The sequence below is a fragment of the Homo sapiens genome, chromosome 7 (genome assembly GCF_000001405.40).
Source record: "Homo sapiens chromosome 7, GRCh38.p14 Primary Assembly".
Classification (NCBI taxonomy): domain Eukaryota; kingdom Metazoa; phylum Chordata; class Mammalia; order Primates; family Hominidae; genus Homo; species Homo sapiens.
In genome coordinates this window covers 134873700-134894616 of record NC_000007.14, presented here as the reverse complement: position 1 = coordinate 134894616, position 20917 = coordinate 134873700, and the positions used below count along the sequence as shown (strand labels likewise).

Below are 20917 nucleotides of genomic sequence, written 5' to 3'. Positions count from 1 at the left end.
AGGTGATGAAACAGAGATAAATTATCTGATGGAAATGCAAAGGAACTTAGAATTCATTTTGTTGAGCACCTGTTTTAGCATTTAACCTAGTACGTCTAGCAAAGCAAAAGGAGTGAAGGCTTTGTGTGTTCAAACGGTTCAAATGAAAAAGGTAAACTAAGGGGAATTGAGTTTGATTTACTCAATAATAGGAAACTTAAAGAATATTTCTGGAGCATCAGCACTGTTCTGGATGCTGAAGCTTCAAAGATTCAAAATCATTCCTGCCCTCAAGTGAATTGCCATTTATTGGGAGGGAAGATAGCTATGTTCAACAATAACTTTATTGAAAGGAAATTAAATTTTGGTACCCCGAACGCATTTAGACAAACGGAAAAGTCAAGCCGGGAACTGGGTCACTCAAAGCCTTCCCCTTTTAGTTCCTAAATAAGATGGCTACAAGGTGAAAAGCTACACAAGCCTCCCCCATATTTTGTCCACAAGGACATTCCTAGAGAGCTGTTAAAACTTCACCATGGCAATGCAAATGGACAGCTTATCTTTATAGGTGCAGTCACCCTGGCCCACCAGACACAAATGCATATCTGAGTGTCGCCCTACCCCATTTTGTCTGTTATCATACGTAAAATGCAGATTCCCCGCATTTTTCCTCTGCCCCCTTTGTTTATGTGATCTTATGTACAAAACACAGATTCACTTAGATGAAAATTGTGTACTTCTCAATATCCCCACCCTTTCCCCTTTAAATCTGGAGCCCTCAAAATCATCTTCAGATAAAGGCATAGACCTATCTCCCAGGCACATCCTTAACTTTGGCAAGTAAACCTCCTAAAATGATTGAGACTTGCCTCGTCATTTTCCTCGATTGACGGTACAAAGCTAGTAATAGAAGGATGGGCAAAGGTTATTAGAGTGAGAGAAGTGAGGAATGAGGAAGGTTTACAGAGGAAGGGAGCATTTGATCAGGGCCTTGCAGAACAGAAAGGAGGTCAGAAACAGGAGGGTGAGGGTATTCCCTGTGTAGGGAATAGAATGAGTCAAGAAACAGTGGTGGCTTGTATATGCTGAGTTTGGGGAGCTGTGAGTGATCTTATTTCACCGGATCAGGTACTCCTATAGTTTTTACAAATCTCGACATCCCTGTGTGCATTTCTTTTGTCATTTCTGCAGAATCTGGTAAAATTATGCCCATCATTTATTTATTTCCCCACAATGTTTTTAACATTCTCCCTGGCGGAAGTCAGAATGGGAAGAAATAGTGAAGGCATGTTGTGGAGAAATTTGAATGCTGTAGTAAGGAGAATGGACTTTATCTTCATAGGTGGGGGCTGTAGGGGGCTGGATCAGAAAGGGGAGAGAGACAGAGGCCGAGGACCAGATGGCAGGCAATGACAACCATCCCGGTGAGAGGTAATAGCTGTTGAAATCCAGGAAATGGCAGAGTAAACAGAGAAGAGAGACACAGAGAAAGGAGACTGATAGAATCATAGGCATGAAGGAGTGGAAACAAGCCTCAGGACCATGAGTTGAGAGAGAGACAGCCAGCCAGACTGGGCTCTTTTCCTAGCATCCCACGCTCTATTGCTGATCAGCTGTGTGACCCTGGGCAAGCCCTTCCTGTGCCTCAGTTTCCTCATCTGAAATGAAGGCTTTCAATGAGATCAGTGGTTTCTGAACTATTCCATGGAGACCTAGGATTCCAAGGAAGTTTTGATGAAGAGGGTGGGGAGGTGGGGTAGAAGAGGGATGAGGAGAGGGGTAGAATTGTGCAGTGGGCTATGACTGCAGAGTAGAGCGAGGATGAGGAGCTCTAGATCCCAAACCTTTTCTTTAACCAGAACATCTCCTTTATACAATAGCGTTCCCCTTAAGATTAAATTTGATTTTTTAAAAAGTTTGATAAGCACTGGACTATACAGATAACGTCTAAAGTCCCTTTGAGCTCTCCCACGTGAATAACCAACCACACTTACGGAAACTAGCTCTCCAAGAGATCTGCTAATGTAATGGACATGGGTCTTGTTTTTAGGACCCTGATGAGTTTCTCTGTTTATTTGATTAACTGTTGCACAAACGCTGGAACAACTGGAACAACAATTGTCATGCTGAATCGGTGCCAAAACTCTCAAAAATGGAAAAGATTTACTGAAAGGCCATTTGGTGTTCTAATTCTTGTGCGGTACCTTTTCCCAAGACCCAGTAAGTTTTTCAAACCTCATAAACACCAGTGTGAAAACGGCCCTTTGCATGAGAGTACAAAGACATGGCTTTGCTACCGACTGTTGTCTGCTTTGGGGTAAGTTGAGTTGCCCCTCTGGTTTCTGTTTCCCTGCCTATTGAAAGACAGCATTGCACCAAAGAGTCTAAAGGCCTCCCTTCTGGCTTTAACATTCCAGGATTTCATGATCCTAAACCCTTGGAGTCCGTTATCTGAACAATTCCCTGATCAATAGCATATGCTCTGGGTCTTGTTCTGTCTTAGTCAGATGGTCAGTATATTGAGGGCTTTGGCTGTTTACTCTAAGGATTGGGCAATGTGTGCTTTAGCCAAAATCTCTGAGCCCTGCAAATGGATCATTCTGAACGGAGGGCTAAGGTCTAAATTAACAGCAGACCTTTAGAAACACAATGCTTTATGGATTGGTATTTGAAACGGAGAAACCCGTGCCTAGGTATAAACTCCTGGCAAATGGTCCACAAACCACCATTAAAATGGAAACGAGAAAAGCCAGCGAATCAGAGCAACCATGAAGTGGAAACCAGAAAGTTTCAGACAGGTCTGAAACTCACACACTCACTGCATTCCTTTCCTGCCTGGTGTCTCCTCCTCTCCCCTCCCACTCCCACATTTTTTTTTTTTTTTTTTTTTTTACAACAATTCGTTTGTTTTTTATAAAAAAAAAAAAGAAAGGAAAAAACCAAAGAGACGAAATGAGGACTCACTGGGAGAGCGCGGCCAGGCTGCGTCTTCCATGCGATCCGGATCCACCCAGCATGTCCGCAGTTGGGAAGGGGCGGCGGGGCAGAGAGATACGGAGACCTGGCCAGGCCGGGCGGTCAGGGCGTGGGCTGGGCCCGCGGAGGGGCCATGTGATCTGTGGCTGAAATGCACGGTGCAGGATGCTCCCGTGTTCTCCCTTTGTGTTAACACGTTGGTCTGTCCCTGTGACGAAAGTCTGGGCTTGTCCTCAGCCAAATCTACTCCTCCCAACCCGTTCCCTCCTCACAGGATCATCAGAGAGCTGATTGTTATTTTTTACTGTAATCTCTCTAATAGAAGCCCATCATGTTTAGCGATCAGAGAGCACTGATTGCTTCGGGAGTTCCAGAAATGTTATTGCTGGGTAGTCAGGGCCAGGATCTCCAGTAGTTTTCCTGATGAAGACTTTATATGCTTAACTACAAATAATTTTTCCAAGGTAAGTAACTGGTCAAAGGAAAAAGACACTGATGCATTTGCTCAGCCTTTTGGAAAATAGTTGATCATGGTATTACATGCATATACAACCTAATTCTGACAAGATCAACAGAAATCAGCCCACCAAAAAGTTCATCCGGGTGCAGTTCTCAGGCTCCCATTCTGAGCTCTGTTCTCAATTAGCATTGGTGTAGGTGGCTTCCAAAGCAAACAGTTCCCACTGAGAAATCAAATCTGAGAAACTCCTCTTATCCCTTTTATCCAGGGAAGGAGCATGACATAAAAATGCAAACCAAATGAAAAGGGATGAAGAGAGATGGCCCTGCTCAGTGATGGGCTGGATGGTTCAGCATGTTTGGTGCTCACACCTCTCCAAGAAATGTGGGCAAGAGCCCTCCTGAGAACATGTTGAAACAGCAGGCCCCGTCTGCACCCATGGTACTCTGCCAGTGATCTCATCAGCCAAGCTGGGCAATGGAACCTGGTCAGCAGCGGCTTGGAAAGCAGCCAAATCCCAGTTCCTGAGGAGGGGGTGGTGTTGATTCTGTCTGGAGATGACACTCCGTCTCAGCTTGACTTATGAATATGGTTCTTCATCTCTAATGAGCACTAAACAGACTGGTATTTGGGTACCAAGCTGCTCGTGGGACTGGCTTTCTGTCAAGTGAGAACAAATCCGATCTCCACAATGTAGAGTTAAGATTATTCTCTTGGTAAACAGCAGGAGAAGCAGTCAACTTCACACATTGAGAGCGCTTTCACGGAATGAAAGAGATCTTTGAGATCTGCGGCTTCATGTCACACGCAGACAAGGACACCAAAGCACAGAGCATTTAGACAACTCACCCAATGTCATGGAGCTGAACTGCATCTACTACTCTTGTGTTCAACTTAAAGTTTAATTGGGTTAGGTTAAGTGGTCTCCACTTTAGCTAGAACATTTTGGTTGTTTTCTTGCTTAAATACTATGCGGTCATCAGAGTCGTAGTTTATAGGCCAGGCGAGGTGGCTCATGCCTGTAATCCCAGCACTCGGGGAGGCTGAGGCAGGTGGATCAAGGTCAGGAGTTTGAGACCAGCCTGGCCAACATGGTGAAACCCCGTCTCTACTAAAAATACAAAAATTACCCGGGCTTGGTGGCAGGTGCCTGTAGTCCCAGCTACTTGGGAGGCTGCGGCAGGAGAATTGCTTGAACCCAGGAGGCGGAGGTTGCAGTGAGCTGAGATGGCGCCACTGCACTCCAACCTGAGCGACAGAGTGAGACTCCATCTCAAAAAACAAAAAACAAAACAAAACAAAAAATGAAGTCATAGTTTATAGAGTAAATACAGTTTAATAAACTTAAAGTTAATTATCTCTATATATCATTATGTATATATGCATTTAAATATCTCTGATTACACATATGATCACCGAACATATATTGATGAAAGTAGCACATAAGACACCCATAAAAGTAGAGATACATCTGCCTTCACACAAGAGGACTTAAATATACACTGACTTGTCCTGAGTTTCTCGCTCTAGAACTGAGACAGAAACATGTATCGAGGCATTCTGCTGCTTCTCTTTCTACCGAATTTTGCCCAATTAATTTTTTCCCTTCAATTACTTACAAAAGTCGGTGGTTTTCTATGGTAGGTGGAATAACGTTTCCCGCAAATCTCCAGAACCTGAGAACATGTTAATTTGCGTGGCAAAAGGGACCTTGTCGATATGATGAAATTAAAGGCATAGAGATGGGGAGAGCATCCTGGATTATCCAGGTGTGCTGGAATGAATCACATGGCTCTTTAAAATCAGAGACCCCTTTCCAGCTGTGGTTAGAGGAGCTTATCTGTCAGGGTGGGCAGACAGACTGGTGATGGCTTTGAAGATGGAGAGGGGGTCCAAGAGCCTGGGAATGTGACTTCCTCTAGAAGCTGGAAAAGGCAAGGAAATGGATTCTCCCCTGGAGCCTCCAGGAAGGAATACAGCCCTGCTGACACCTTGATGTTAGCCCAGTGAGACCTGTGCCAGACATCTAACCTATAGAACTGTACAGAATAAGTTGTGTCGTTTAAAGCCACCAAGTTTCTAGTTATTTGTCGCAGCCATGCGAGAAAGCTATCACCTCCTGATTCCCTCCTCCCCAGCCCCCCACGCCAATTCTGAGGTGACAGGTATGGTTTTGGCATATTCAGAATAGGTTCATAAAATGGAAAAACCTAGAAAAAAAAATTGTGGTTCTTTCTGGCCAGTATTCTCCATGGAGGAGAGCAAGAATTTAGTAGTCTTCCACTCATGTGCAGAATCCATGTACAGAAAGTGTGCTAATTGCCAGCTGTACACAGGATGTCCACCAGGCTATTTCCCTAATTGCCAAAAGAGGGAAAGGGAAACAGCGCGCACCCTCCTTTGTTATTAGGGGCATGCATTTGGGAAGCAGCTGTCTGTCTTCAGTTTGTGATAGTAAAACCCAGTGGTGTTATAGCTCATGCTACCTGGTAGGGTACTGACATGGGAAGAGTGAAGAGAGAAGTGAGTCTTGGACCTGGTTCAGACACTCTCTGGGAAGAGGAAGAACACAAAGGCCAATGAAAGACAGGCAACGCGGGAAGACGCATAGAGATAACAAGTGAATCATGAGCTGAGAGCAGGGCTGGGCTAGGCAAGTGCTTCCAAGAGTCCTCTGAGACCTGGTGCCTGGGGCTGGAGAGGCAAGGTAAGAGGATTGAGAAATAACAATCTAAAGGTTATTTGTGCACAGTGTTCTGGTCCTGCAGAGACCTACAGGCCTGTGTGCTTTCACTGCATAGCAGAGAATGGTACCCAGTGTCCAGCTGCCAGAACTGGTGTCTCTGAGAAGTGAACTAATGACTATTCATTGGCACCATGAACAAGTGGGCCAGTCATCCTTCAGCAAGATAATAGGTATCATGAATTTGATGATGCTTCAGGACTCTTACTAGGAAAAATGAAAGTCTGGGCCATTCTGAGATTACTCATAGTATCCTTTGTTTCTGGACACTTTATTGTTTAATTTTTCATCAAAGAGATTCTGGGCTGGGAAGGTTTGAGGGAGGTCAGACTGTAATAGAAAGGAACAGCTCCCACCACAGGGTGGTCCTTTATTAAGAAAATATGATTTTTTAAAAATAACTTTACTTCATGGAGGTGGGAGACCGGACCACAAGATCTGTTCCAGACTTTAGAGTCTGCAGCAGTTGTTTAAGAACAGCTTCTACCTTGAAACAATTCCCTAGGGAAGAGAGGTATGTGGGAAGTGCTGTGCATATGCCCTAATGCGCTTATGACACACATGCACACACATACACACACATACAGACACACATGCACACACAGGCACACACACATACACGAATGCATGCATATGCACACATGCACACACATACACATGCGCACACATACACATGCACACACATACACACGCAGGCACATAGAGACACACATGCACACACAGGCAAACACATATACGCATGCATGCATATGCACACATGCACATACACATACACACACATGCATGCATACGCACACATGCACACACATACAGACATGCATGTACACACAGGCACACACATATACACGCATGCATGCATACGCACACATGCACACACATAACATGCACAGAGCCATTCACTTACTATGGAAACACATAAACCTAAGGGAAATCTACCACTAGGGAGGCAACAGTTCGAGTAGTACAAAGGGGACGTTTGAAAAGGCTGTTGGAGATAAATTTTCTTATGAAGAAATTCATAGGCTCTGTACTCTTAGAACTAGGCAAAAAATCTTGCCTAGACAGCTGTTCCCCCACCCCAAGGTGAACAGGAATGTAGGTAAAGGAGTTTACATATTCAAAGGCAGCATCTCTTTCCTCCTTTCTGTTGGCCTCTCATAGTTTTCCCCTCATAGACGACGGCATCTCCCATCCCCTGCCCCTGCCATGGCGTTGAACGTGTTCACTTAAACTATATTGCTCTGTCATGTCCTGTGATCTTGAATGCAGGAGCTGCTGTGGAAAAATCACAGTTTACTCCTCATCCTAGTCTTCCAGTGGTTCTTCACCAGCGTCTTCATGGCCTGTGCTGATACACGTTTCTTAATTATTCTTTGCCTCATCTGTCTCTAGGCCTGTAATAGGGGCTTGGGTTGTGACACTGTCTTATTGCCCTTATAATGGTGAGCATGTAGTTTTATTTTGTCCCAGCACATTCCTTTTTGCTTTGCTTCGCGTAGCACTATTGGAATGTTTACTACAAGCAAGTCATTGCACTAAGTGCTGTGGGGGATGCAAAGATAAGAAGGGCAGTCCTAAAGGGAGATAAGACATGTATACAAAAATTCTATTATAAGACAGAAAGTGAACAGTACTCTGAAAGCAGTAGAGCTAAAGAACTATACTTCAGTAGGTGACATCCTGTGATCAAGGTCCCAGTGTTTAATCACTCTCACGCTCAATTTATCCTGTTATCGAACTAGATTTCCTGTTGCTGAAATAGAAACCTACTTATCTCTAGGAGGGCCACAGGTATTAAGTCATCCTTTAGTCTCGTCTTTTCTAGGCTAGACGCCAATGCCTATTTTCCATCCTTTTAATATCAGCCTGACTATAACAACTCTTCAAACGGGAAACCAAAATTGGACATAATAAAAGCTGACCAAGGCCTGGCTGAAGTCCCAGTGCTTCCTGCCACGTTCCTGTTAACACATCCTAACATCATTTTCACATTGATAATAGCATCTCTTAGAGAGATCATTCATTCAGTTTTGTGCTATATCCAGGGTTTTTGCTTTTTCTTTTTTCTTCTCCAAATGAATTGCTTTGTAAGTCCTATGCCCACTCTTACTCCTTTTGCTTCTCTGAATTCTAGTGGTTCTTTAAGAACCAGTTCCAGGCCTTACCTCTATGAAGTCTTCCTGGATTTGACTTTATTTCTTTCTAATTTATCTTGTTAGGGAGAGAGAGACCAGAAAGCTTGAGCCCACTCTTGTTTGCATGTTATTTGGGAAATAATTATGTTGCAATGTATGAGTCAGCTCCTCCAGCCAACTTGCTGTGAGACTCCCTGTTTCTGTTTAAACTGTCTTGCACCAATTACTTAGGCCGACTCTCTAAGCTCTTTTTAAAATCCAGGGTTTTTTAAACAACTGGACTATTTTCTTTTCCTGAAAAGTTTCTATCTGAAAAGGATCATGCCTCTAACTCCTTTCTGCCCTCCAACTTGAAACATATCTTTAAAACAATAAACGGTGCTTGGAAATAGCAGGGCTCTAACAATTTCTTGAATGAATGGTGGCTGGTGCACATCTACAAAATTCTGGTTCTGGTCTCGGTGAAAACGATAATAATAATACCTGCTTTATATAATTCTAGGAAAGAAGTGTGTACATGAAGAATGTGATTTCTACCCATAAGAAACTGAATCTAGGCCATAGTGATATATTTTAGAATGTAGATTTGTTGTTCATAGGTACAGGTTGTGAAGGAAATTATTATAAGGACTCAGGAGATAATTCTAGTGCAGAAGAAAAGGTCAAATCTTCAAAGGAAGCATATTAGTTCCTAAGCCACAGAATTCTCAGTGTGTACCACTCTTGTTCAAAGTGTCTAAATATTTCCACAATCATAAATTTATTTGTGGGTGTCCACCTTTTGCATCTGGATATTAAATTTACACATGGCTTTTATAGCTGGAATGAAATCCAGATTTTTTTCCAGTGATACCATATAAAGTCTTAAAAAATATTGATTTCCTTCTTTTTGGGGGGTGGTCAGACCTGGATGAAAGCATATTGCTCCTATTGCTAGAGAAATAATCCATTATGTGTTTCAGATACTTTAGGTGTTGTGCTTATTATTTACATTATATAATAACACTTTATTAGGTTCTGTTATATTTTGTAATAACCTCTGACTGGGATCAGCACTTGATTATGATCTACAGATAGAAATAAACGTATGGTGCCGGGTGTCGGGGCTCACACCTGTAATCCCAGCACTTTGGGAGGCAGAGGCAGGAGGATCACCTGAGGTCAGGAGTTACAGACCAGACTGGCCAACATAGTGAAACCCCGTCTCTGTTAAAAGTACAAAAGTTAGCCTGGCATGGTGGTGTGCGCCTGTAACCCCTCCAGAGGCTGAGGCATGAGAATCGCTTGAACCTGGGAGGTGGAGGCTGCAGTGAGCCGAGATCACACCAGTGTACTCTAGCCTGGGTGACAGAATGAGACTCTGTCTCAAAAAAATAAATAAATAAAAGAAAGAAAGAAAATATGGATAAATACAAATACACAGTCTTATTTGTTCATTGTTCCTGTGTATATACTTGTTTTTACCAAATAAGTTACAGTGTAACATTTTTGCTGGAAGGGGTATTTCCTACCACCACTTTTGCACCTGATACAGCCTAGGAGGGTGTTAGTTATATAGCAGATGGCCAATAAGTACTTGTCATTTTTTCTCTGGAGTGAAGAGGGACAACGATGGAGTAGAGACGCTGCACCAAGGTCAGTTGGCTTGTTTTTCCAAAGGTTTCTAAAGATTGGCCTTTTTTTTTTTTTGGAGTATTCATAACAGTTCTGCACCAGAAATTGGATCTTGGGAGGTCCAGAATCGACAGGTATCAGGAAGATTGATGAACTCACAGATGCACAAGAGACTGATGCCTTCTCTAGTGCCAATTAAGATAGAATAAATGCTCTCCATCTTCAGTGCCTGGAGAACTCTCATTCCCAACCAGGGCACCTCCCATTCCCCAAGCCAGGATGTTAGGAAGCTGCGTAGTCAATAGCGACTTCTTCATGAGTGTGAAGTCAGAGCAAAGCGGGGTGAAATCATCACAGGTAATATTTTACCCAAGCCAGTGGGAGACATGAGGAAACACTTCTCCAAGTGGAGAGAATACTTTTCATGTCACAACTCTGTGAGATTCAAGCCATAAATCTCATGTCACCACCCTGAAACTCAACCAACCCTGAGATTCAAGGTCTGTCTCATTTGGATATTCCTAGATCCCCAGGGCCAAACCAGGTCTTGAACTTGGCAGACATGCAGGCTTCTTCTACTGGCCATTCCTTTTTTTTTTTCTTTTTTGAGACAGAGTTTCACTCTTGTTGCCCAGGCTGGAGTGCAATGGTGTGATCTTGGCTCACTGCAACCTCCGCTTCCTAGGTTCAAGCAATTCTCCTGCCTCAGCCTCCCAGGTAGCTGGGATTACAGGCATGTGCCACCATGCCCGGCTAATTTTGTATTTTTATTAGAGACCTCACCGTGTTGGTCAGGCTGGTCTCAAACTCCTGACCTCAGGTGATCCACCCGCCTCGGCCTCCCAAAGTGCTGGGATTACAGGCGTGAGCCACCGCGGCCAGCTTCTACTGGCCATTCTTTCTTTACACTCACTAATATCGTGGATTACAGTTGGACTCCACTTGTTCAAATCTGGGAGACCTAATGCAGTTTGACCCTTATGAATTGTATTTATCAGAAATGCTCTTCTGTAGAATCTTAGGTATCTTTATGATGGTAGCCTAAGGCAGGAGATTAGAAATAGAGTAGGAGAAGAAAGCTTTTCCATTTTAAGATGCTATTTTACTTTGACATTATTGAGTAGTGAAATCAAGCTCTTATTAAGATTAAAACAGGAAAAGCAAATGGGGCCTTTTTTTTAATCTCACTAATTTATAGAATAACCACCAGCCTGGCAGGTTTTTAAGGGAAAATATTTAGTAAAAATATCCAATTTTCTCATTTAAAAGCCAGAAGCCATCTGGAAAGCTTTTTAATGTTAACACATTATGAAGACAACAACAACAAAAGATAAAATAGATGATACTTAAAAAAAATAGCCGACAGTCACTTCAAATTTGAAAGCCAATGATGTGAAATATGAATCCAGCTTTCTAAAATATGTTGCAAAGTAGAGAGGGCTGAAGTAATCTGAGATTCTCCTAAGTATTTTAGAATTCAGAGTCTTTCTAGGATAACTTCAAATTACCTTTCCTTCTGACTCTTTCCCAGTAGATCTAAGAATCAAAAATTAAAATTTCTTACCTAAGAAATACAGTTCTGAGGCTATTCGATTGTGCTTCTGGGTTTACGTACTTTGAGTGTTCCAGTTCACTAACTTTATTTTAATTACAAATTTTATGTTAACAAATTAACCAAAGGGTATATTTTATGATGAAGAAAATCCATTTATAAATACTCCTCCTCCTTCTTCCAAATAGTACCACTCAAGGAGCATAAACCATTTATAAAAATGCTCGACTTTACTGGAAAAAAATAATTAAGTCCTCATATCTTGATTAAAAAGTATTGGGCTCTAATGTATTACTTTCTTCTTTTTCTTTTTTGGTCCATCATTACATCCCAATATTGGAAAACCATTTACCATTTGAAATCTAAACTTTGAACTCAACTTGTATGTTAAACACTCCATTCTATTGTATGCTAAACATTCTATTATCAGAAAGAATGTTGATAAATACATGCCAGAGATTGGCCCTACCCTTATCCTACTTCTGCCCATTCTTCTGGGATTAACTGGATACTTTACTCCTCCTGACCACAAGCTTGATCCTTCATTAGAGAAATTTTTGATTATACAGTTTGTTCACTGTTGGACTCCTGTACGTTTGGCATAAACCCTGTAATTTGATGATTATCTGATTTATAATGCAGATACTAATTGCAAATATACCAAGGGCTTGAGTACCGGAGTAAATAGGCCAACAAAAGGAAATGGACTCTTACCATATTAATATCATTTGCCTCCACAATGCAACTAAATAAGCATAAGTGGTCAAAATTCTATGTTGTAAAGGTCCAATTATCCTTAATAATCAAAAAAATACATGAGATAAATCTCTTCATTTCTCTGGAGAAAAGATATGGAGTTGAAATTGCAATGGCTTGAAGGCTCAGCAGAGAAGTGATGAAACCCCAGGAGAGGCATTGATGGTGTCAGTGTTTAGAAGACACAACGAGTGTCACTAACATTTCTGCCTCCCTCACAAGTAGCTTAGCACATTTGTCACAGTTGTGCCTTGATACACAAGTGTTAGTGTTCATTCAACATTGTATGCTGGTCTTGGGGAAATAAAAGTGAGTAAGATGTAGTTTCTGATCTACGGTTGCTTTCAATTTGGTGGAGAAAACAGATACGAGAACAAATAAACATAAAATAGAGGATAATAATTAACATATGTAAAAAGTGCGACGTAAGACCCAAGGTGGGAGTAGGGTTCTCCTCGTAAGCACAGCACAGTTTCCTTCTGATTGGGATAAAGCCAGGATTTTAAATCGTCTGCATTTTCTCCTCAATTCACAACTAGAGGAAAAGGGAAAATAAAATGGCTTTGGTTCTTCTAATCTGCAATTGAGGTCCTAAGCCCTCTCCAGAGGTGACGGGCTCTAGGGAGGGTGACAGGTGACATTTTATTTCATTGTGTTTTCTCAGCATCTGATTTCTGAAAGACTAGAATACCTGACAGCCAGTCAGCTAGCATAAGGCAGCAGGGTTAGAAGTGTGAAAATTCCTTTGAAACACAGCACATGACCAGCATGAAACCTGCAACTCTACATATAGTTAATATAGAAGTGAATCCAGTGTAATCACCCAGGCACTTCAACATGATAAACGTACGTCATGCGCATTACCCTTTATACTTTCGATGACATTTTTTCTGTATCTTGCTTAATTTTCTCAGCCACCCTGAGAAGTGTTAGTTCTCTCTTATAGATAAGGAAGCCCTGATCTGCTGAACTTTTATCCAGTGTCTTTTCTTTTATCCTTGATTTAAAAGCCAGTCTCTTCAGCAGGAGTTAGAGGACATTTAGCTCTAATGTGATAATAAATTGAGAGTGGGGCCTCACACGATGCAAAGAAAAAAAGTGCCAGAGTTGGAGAAAATGACAAGGTTTCCAGATTTGACCCTGCCACTGACTGTGTGCTCTTGGACATGTTGCTCTACAAGCCTGGGTCCAATGATTTGGGCTTCCAACCCCCTTTCAGAGAACGTAGGAAAGAGAGTGTATGTTAATTTCTGATGACATAACCCAACTGGACACCAGAATCTGTCTTCTAGAAGTAATTCTGCACTTCAGGCAGAGTTCTCATGGAAAACTGACACCTTTCTGAAGCGCATATGTCTCTGATTTCAGCTCTACCATAGCTCTGACAATGCCACAATGAGACATCATTTATATGACATGAGGCACTTAGGGACTAAAGGATTTGGGAATTTCTCTCCAGCCTCAACCTAGAGTTTAAAAAAAACTTCATTCTGTTCAGTTCAAAAGCCGCTGAGCATCTGTAGCAATGATAATCCCTAGGTAGCCAGGATATGCTATGAAGATGCTGGCTCAGGGAAAATACACTCTCCTGCTTAGATAGGAAGAGTTAAAGGATCTTAAAAGGTAGTAGCAGGAAAGACAGGTGTCAGATATCAGTTCTTTCTACATCACAACTTTTGCGCGAGGCCCCTTAATAATAGGTCCTTTCTCATCTTCTTCATCAAAGGACAAATAGTGAGGGAATGTTAGATCCCCCAAATGAAACTCCACTAAAAAAAGATCAAGATCTACACAACAGTTTTGATGAGAGAAACAGAAGAATTGTTCAAGGAAGAAGTGGGCAGAGATATACATGTACTGTAGCTGCCAATTGTGCCTTGGGAAAGATGCAGTGTGATTAGACCTGATGATGCTTCTTGTCTTTGAATCAGCCTGATAACCCATCATCTCATCCTGCTTGTTTATTTGCTCACTTCTTGCTCAGTTATTTTTCATATTAGTCTCTTGAGTCTCCCCCCACCTCCAGAAAACCTTCCAACAGTGTAAAGTTTTCTGTGGGAATAAAAAATGGGTTGACTGCTGTTATTCTAAGCGGGCACAGTAGTGCTACTAGCTCCAGAAATAAAGGACTCTTTCATTACCTAGTGCTGGTGCCGGCTCTGAGTTATCTAGCTTTTATTTGGAGAGCCCCATGAAGCATGCAAAATTCCCACTGGACAAAAAGACCCAGGCTACCCTTAGAAAAATAAAAAGCACATATTGAACAATCTGCTGGAAACCGTCAGTTGAGTTCCTAAATGGTACAGGAAAACAGAAGCCAGTGAAGATGTGACATGGGATAGTAGTCCATGTCACCCACAATGGAAAATATGAACATTGGAAGAATTTCCTATTCTAAACAATGTGGGGTTTAAAATACACTCTGGAGACTCTCCTGAATGTACAGGCTTGTAGCTGCTATTTATAGTGACCGATGTGTACTTTACTGAGATTTTTATCCCAACAAAGGAACTGTATGTGATGTAGGGAGTTATTAAAATGGAAAATAAGCCCTCACATTCTAACCTAGTCATTGGTACACATCTCAAATGCAATGTCAGGTCTCACTAAAATAGATCAACTAGAAGTAAGCCCAGTAAAAATTATAAAATACCTTAAAAGAAATTTAATTTTGAAAAATGTTTAAGTCTACCTACCTGGTAACTTCCATCATGCTGGCAAAACATTAGAAGCTTATTCAAATGGTGAATACATACAAATGATTTATAATTAACAAATTAAGCTGTTCAATGTCAGTGAATGTTTTTAAAGTTATTTAAAAGGTTTAAAAAAAAGTTGTACTCTCCAGTACTTAAAAACTAAGCCATGGAATGTAGCTTACATATTTAACATGTTAACCAAAGACTTTATTTATAAATAATTCAAAGTTGTACTTTACTAATGTTCCTGAATAAATGATTAAAAATTCAAAAACAGTCTGCGTTAATGCAGGTTTAGGATAGGCTAAAAACTGATTTTCCACTGCTGATGAATAGTGCTCATTAGATAGCAAACTAGTGGAAAGAACTGATTTTATTCACAAAATATGCACATGATTCCTCTTTAACCTGATTCACAGATGAATGAGAATCCACTTACACAGCCCACTTACACAGCCACCACATTGGTCCAACATGCTCATGTTTCATGCCCTGTGGTACTTTCTTGCAGCACCATTTAGGGACCTTTGGGATAATAAAGGTCAAGAACTTCCTTGGAAGACTTGAAAGCAACTGAAGTCATCATTTCTGTCTGCCAGTTCCACCTGACCAAATGACAGCTGCAAATGCAGATCTGTCACTCCTGCTGGCCAATGAGAAAACCATAGGGCAAAAGAGAGAGGTTCAATATAAGTATTGGATAGCTTTCATTACATCTTTTTTTTTTTGAGACAAGGTCTCCCTCTGTTGTCCAGGCTGGAGTGCAGTAGTGCAATCATGGCTCACAGCTGACTGCAGCCTTGAACTCCCAGGCTCAAGTAATCCTCCCACCTCAGCCTCCAGAGTAGCTGGTACTACAGGCACACACTACCACATCCAGCTATTTTTTTTATTATTATTATTTGTAGAGATGAGGTCTTCCTATGTTGCTCAGGCTGGTCTCAAACTTCTGGGCTCAAGTGATTCTCCCACCTCAGCCTCCCAAAGTGTTGGGATCCCAAAGGAGTGAGCCACTGCACCTGGTCTGTATTTTTATTTTATTTTGATGAGAATTCTTTGTTCACACTGTATACTTCTTGCAGCTTTAGACAGCATAAGAACGTTTATCTTGTGTGTTTATTTTTATTTTTTCTTGAGGCAGGGTCTCGCTCTATCACCCAGGCTGGAATGCAGTGGTGCGATCTCGGCTCACTGCAACCTCTGCCTCCTGGTTTCAAGTGATTCTCCTGCCTCAGCCTCTCCAGTAGCTGGAATTACAGGCGCCCACTACTATGCCCGGCTAATTTTTGTATTTTTAGTAGAGAAGAGGTTTCACCATGTTGGCCAAGCTAGTCTAAAACTCCTGACTTCAAGTGATTTGCCCGCCTCAGCCTCCCAAAGTGCTGACATTACACGCAGGAGCCACCATGCCCAGCCTGTCCTGTGTGTTTAGAAAGACAAACTTCTTGCCCTCTCAGGGAAGTGGGCTCTCACTGACACCTTTACCTGAGAGTCTGGAGAGAATCTTTGGAATGCCTGGATCCCAGGGCCCTGGAGAAGCTAGTACCTAAATTCGTATGATCTCATTTCAAATTTTATTTTAAAATAAATGAATTATTCAGGACACTGGTTACCTCTGTGGGTGGGGAGGTGAAGGGAAGGGATTGGAGAGGGGCCTGGGGCATTGGAAATGTTCTAGGTCTTAGGCTGTATGGTGAGTTTATAGGATACGCATTAGGATGAGTTAGAACTTCCATATATATTACATAGGATTACTTTGTATGCATCAGTTTTTTCATAATTAAAATGAATAAATTAGTAATTTGGGATACATTTTTTCAAAATCATTTTGTAACAATTAGGCATATGATTTTCCTTATGTTATTATTACAATATTTATATATAATGTTGGCATTGAGAAGCTTCTGGTTGATGCTTTAATGGTAATGAAACCATAGATTATGCAATATGAAAAGAGAAATGATAATTTCACAAGGCAAAAAGAGTATTTTAAATATAGTCATCCCTCAGTATCAGCAGGGGAATATAAATGCTATGTACATAGTTGTTATACTGTATTGTTCAGAAATGATGACAAGGAAAAAAGTATGTACATGTTTAGCACAGATGCAACCATTGTAGGCCTAACTACATTTTTGATCTGGGTTGGTTGAATCCTCAGGTATGGAGAGCTGACCATACATGATTAATTAAATTATATACATACATACACATATGTATATATCATTGTGACAAAGACCTTGATATGTACCAGACTATTGCATGCTTTTGTCTTGATTTCAAACAAGTAGGGAAAATGGAAAAGAACTCTTAATAATAAAAAGGTAATTTTCTTTTTACAGGGAGACATTTATATCCATAATTCTCCCATCACTTTCAAGGTAGCTGCTAAAACAGATCTGAAACAGAGAAAAGATTAGACACTGAGCCATCTGACACATGGAGTTGTACCTTGTTCAGTGATACCCCAGATGGTAGCTGCCAAAAGGCTGAGTTTCTGAGGTGACCCCAGAGAGGGCTTTTCTGAGAGCGCCTTTCTTACCATGTCCTTCAGCCAGCAGAAAAACAGCAACAAGAGGTAACAGAATGAGCACTAGTCATGTTTTAGGGACTACTAAGTGCTTTATAATCTGCATTAAACCTTATAAGGAAGAACTGTTTCGATGGCCATTTTCCACTTGATGAAATGGGCTGAGAGAGGCGGAGTAGAACAACCATTTTGAATCCAGCTGGGATTCTGGGATTTGAATCTAAGTCTTCATGACTCTAGATCCTACTCTCTGAAAGGCACCTGTCCCACTCCAAATCTGTCCCATCCTCCCCAAAGATAGTAGTGATAAATGTAAAATATAAGTTTCTCTGTTAGGAATCAAATCAGTTCTTATCTTTTTCATATTTAGAGAGAAAAGTCATTTGATGAATTTTCTAAAAACTGGTAAGAATGGAGAAATCCTACATAACTTAGTTTCAAAATTAAGCTTTGTTTGAAGGAATCATGCTAACACAACATATACCAAATAAAAGACTTCCAAAATTGATAGAAAATGGGATTGTAGTAAATCACCAAAGTTTTTTTGTCCTTGTTGACAAAGACGCCAAACTTTGATTCCCAGTTCCTGACTATTAACTGGTATCATTCTGCCTATCCACTCATCTTTCTTTATTTTTCACTTTATTCACTGTAATCTGACCGAATCTCCTTTATTTAGAAACATTATCCATAAACGGTTTTTAAGTTTTAGAAAGCACTCTACATGCAGTACATTGTAGAATACACTCTTTTCCAAAATATGCTTTATTTTCCTAATCAATAGCCATAGACTTTTTTACATATAGCAAGATCAGGATGGCTTTGTTTGTCCAGGGGCCCACACTATGCAAACAGCTTAACTGGGTGATCTTAAGGGGATATGTCTCCTAGGCTTGAGTTTCTTAATATTTAACAGGCAGTTTTAAAATTCATTAGATCAGGGATTCTTGGCCAGAAGGCATCGGCCCCCAGGAGGTCTGCGGACGGAGGTTCATGATGCCACTGAATGTAAGTGCCAAGTTTGGTGGGTGCATATGTGCATTTTTCTTGGAGGAGGGTCCAGAGCTTTCATCAGTGCCTCAAAAATAGTGTGTGGTCCAAAACTGAATACATAATGTTCCCCTGCGGAAGATGATTCATAAGGTCAGAGACAGCCTTAAGTTTTTAAGAGTGATGATGTGACTAAGTCCCTGTCCTAATGATGTACAGTCTTGTTGAAAAAAGTCCAGTGAAAAGTCAAGAATAGTCATATCAACAGCCTTCTTTGCCTTAAGCAGGGAAACTCGATCTTCTCTGTTTCTATTTTTCTGCTAAATGGGAATAACACAGGAGATTTTCTGAGGGCAAACAAAACAATGACTTTGCCTACACATATAAGCAATTTACCTGAAGAAGCATAAAAAATAGTTCAACTAGGCACAATAGTCTTTGTTTAGTCTATTGCTGTTGCAGGACTTTCCTTAGTTCAGCTAAAGACAGGGTTCTTGTCTGTCCCACGGTGACGAAAATCTGGGCTCACAGATGGTTTAAGGGGTGAGCAAAGCATTCGCTCTTGTTGCCCAGGCTGGAGTGCAATGGCGTGATCTCGGCTCACTGCAACCTCCACCTCCCGGGTTCAAGCAATTCTCCTGTCTCAGCTTCCTGAGTAGCTGGGATTGCAGGCGCCCACTGCCACGCCCAGCTTATTTTTTGAATTTTTAGTAGAGATGGGGTTTCACCATGTTGGCCAGGCTGGTCTCGAACTCCTGACCTCAGGTGATCCACCTGGCTCAGCCTCGCAAAGTGTTGGGATTACAGGCGTGAGCCACCGCGCCCAGTGACAGATCTTTTAATTTGAAAGTATGTGGTGACTCACGCCTATAACCTCAGAACTTTGGGAGGCCCAGGTGGGAGGATTGCTTGAGTCCAGGAGTTTGAGACTGGACTGCGCAACATGGCGAGACCACATCTCTACAAAAAATAAAAAATAAAAGTAGAAAACTAGATGGCAGATTCTAACTTTCTTTTGTCCCCTGGAGTGATCAGTTTTCTGAGAGAACTGAAGGGAAATTTTGAGCAAATCTAGCTACTTTGATAATTTAGATAGTTTCAAAGGAATATCGTATTTAACTTCTTAATGGAAAATAATGTTCTGATGATAAAATAACAGTAATTTCATTTTAAAAGATTTTATTTAAAAATGTCAAGGTCCTGATGCTAAGCATTTTGAATAAGTGTTGGGTTTGCGTGTGTGAGGGGTTGTGTGTTGTATAATCATTCATTGGCTGTTTCTATTAAATCATGTAAAAAAGTCTCAGTGATACAGTTCTGAGAGGGGACTTTAGAGACCCCATGGATTTTAAAAAATTGCTTCTTTTTATAGTGTAGTAAAAATATTTACTTTCAAATGTCTAATCATCAAGCCATTTCAGAAGCCCATAAAAATGTATGAATGATGACAACAGCAAGTGTTTTCATTCCCTTTATTTATGTCTGTAAGCTTCTGAATCTGATAACGTAACTCTACAATAGGGGCCTTTCTTCTGATCAGTGAGAGGAACTCATGTTGGGTGCAGAAAGCAGATGCTGTGAACGTAATGAGCACATCTTGGAAAGTGAGAGAGCCATTTGTTGGGGAACCAAGCCCGGTGTCGGCCAAGTATGTCTGCTGGAGATTTTCTCATGGATAAAAGCATCACTGCTGGTTTCTCAGAAAATACATCACAGCTCCTCATGCCTGTAATCCCAGTACTTTGGGAGGCTGAGGCCGGTGGAGCACTTGAGGCCAGGAGTTTGAGACCAGCCTGGCCAACATGGTGAAACCTCCTCTCTAATTAATACAAAAACTAGCTGGGTGTGGTGGCGTGTGCCTACTCGAGAGGCTGAGGCAGGAGAATCGCTTGAACCTGGGAGGCAGAGATTGCAGTGAGCCGAGATGGTACCACTGCACTCCAGCCTGGCCGACAAAGTGAGACTCCTTCTCAAAAAAACAAAAATGAAAACAAAAAAAAAGAAAAAAAGAAAAAAAGAAAATACACCACAGCTCAACATTCTTTCGGCCAAATTTTTAAAAATAACTTAAACTGGTGCTAATTCTTCCAGCTGAGACAACACAGTCCTTCCTCAAAAACTGTTACCGATCACAGTCACTCAAAGCTCTTCAGTCAGTCACGCATTCCTGCCTTTCATCTTGCCTATGGTTCTTGTACCATCTATGATGTGCAAAACAATCCACAAGCCTTTCATATTTTTATTTTTTTATTTCCATGTTGTAGAGAATCAAATTAAATAATAATAATTAATAATGAGTTTATTGAATGTTTATTAGATGAATAACACTGTGTTAATACTTTCATGTCTTACCTTTTTACATCCCCACAAAAACCCAGTGAGGTGGATACTTTTACTACCCCCATTTTGTAAGGGAGGATACAAAATATTTGAAAGATTGAATAATTTGGTAGATCCCATAGTTAGTAAGTGGCAGAGCTGGG

General features: G+C 41.2%; 1 protein-coding gene across 48 annotated transcripts in view, besides 1 other annotated feature; it reads right to left on the bottom strand.

Moving 5' to 3' along the window:
- The window catches only part of CALD1 (caldesmon 1), a 259231-nt gene that overhangs the window by 76113 nt on the left and 162201 nt on the right, over positions 1 to 20917 (bottom strand). For 14 of the 48 annotated variants that reach the window (NR_199389.1, NR_199387.1, NR_199388.1 and 11 more), the window contains exon 1: positions 2944 to 3159. The exons of the other annotated variants lie outside the window; for them this stretch is intronic. Coding sequence is in view for 11 of the 14 variants with exons in the window: in NM_001438766.1 (NP_001425695.1) it covers positions 2944 to 2996 (53 nt within the window). In the remaining 3 variants the exon portion in view is untranslated. Of the gene's footprint in view, positions 1 to 2943; positions 3160 to 20917 lie in introns of those variants that run through there. 48 annotated transcript variants of the gene reach the window in all.
- Positions 15543 to 15602: an enhancer, noted in NCBI's record as "active region_26694". NCBI's record gives its function as "activates an Ori minimal core promoter by ATAC-STARR-seq in GM12878 lymphoblastoid cells {active_cell/tissue: GM12878}" and the evidence as "EXISTENCE:reporter gene assay evidence [ECO:0000049][PMID:35858748]".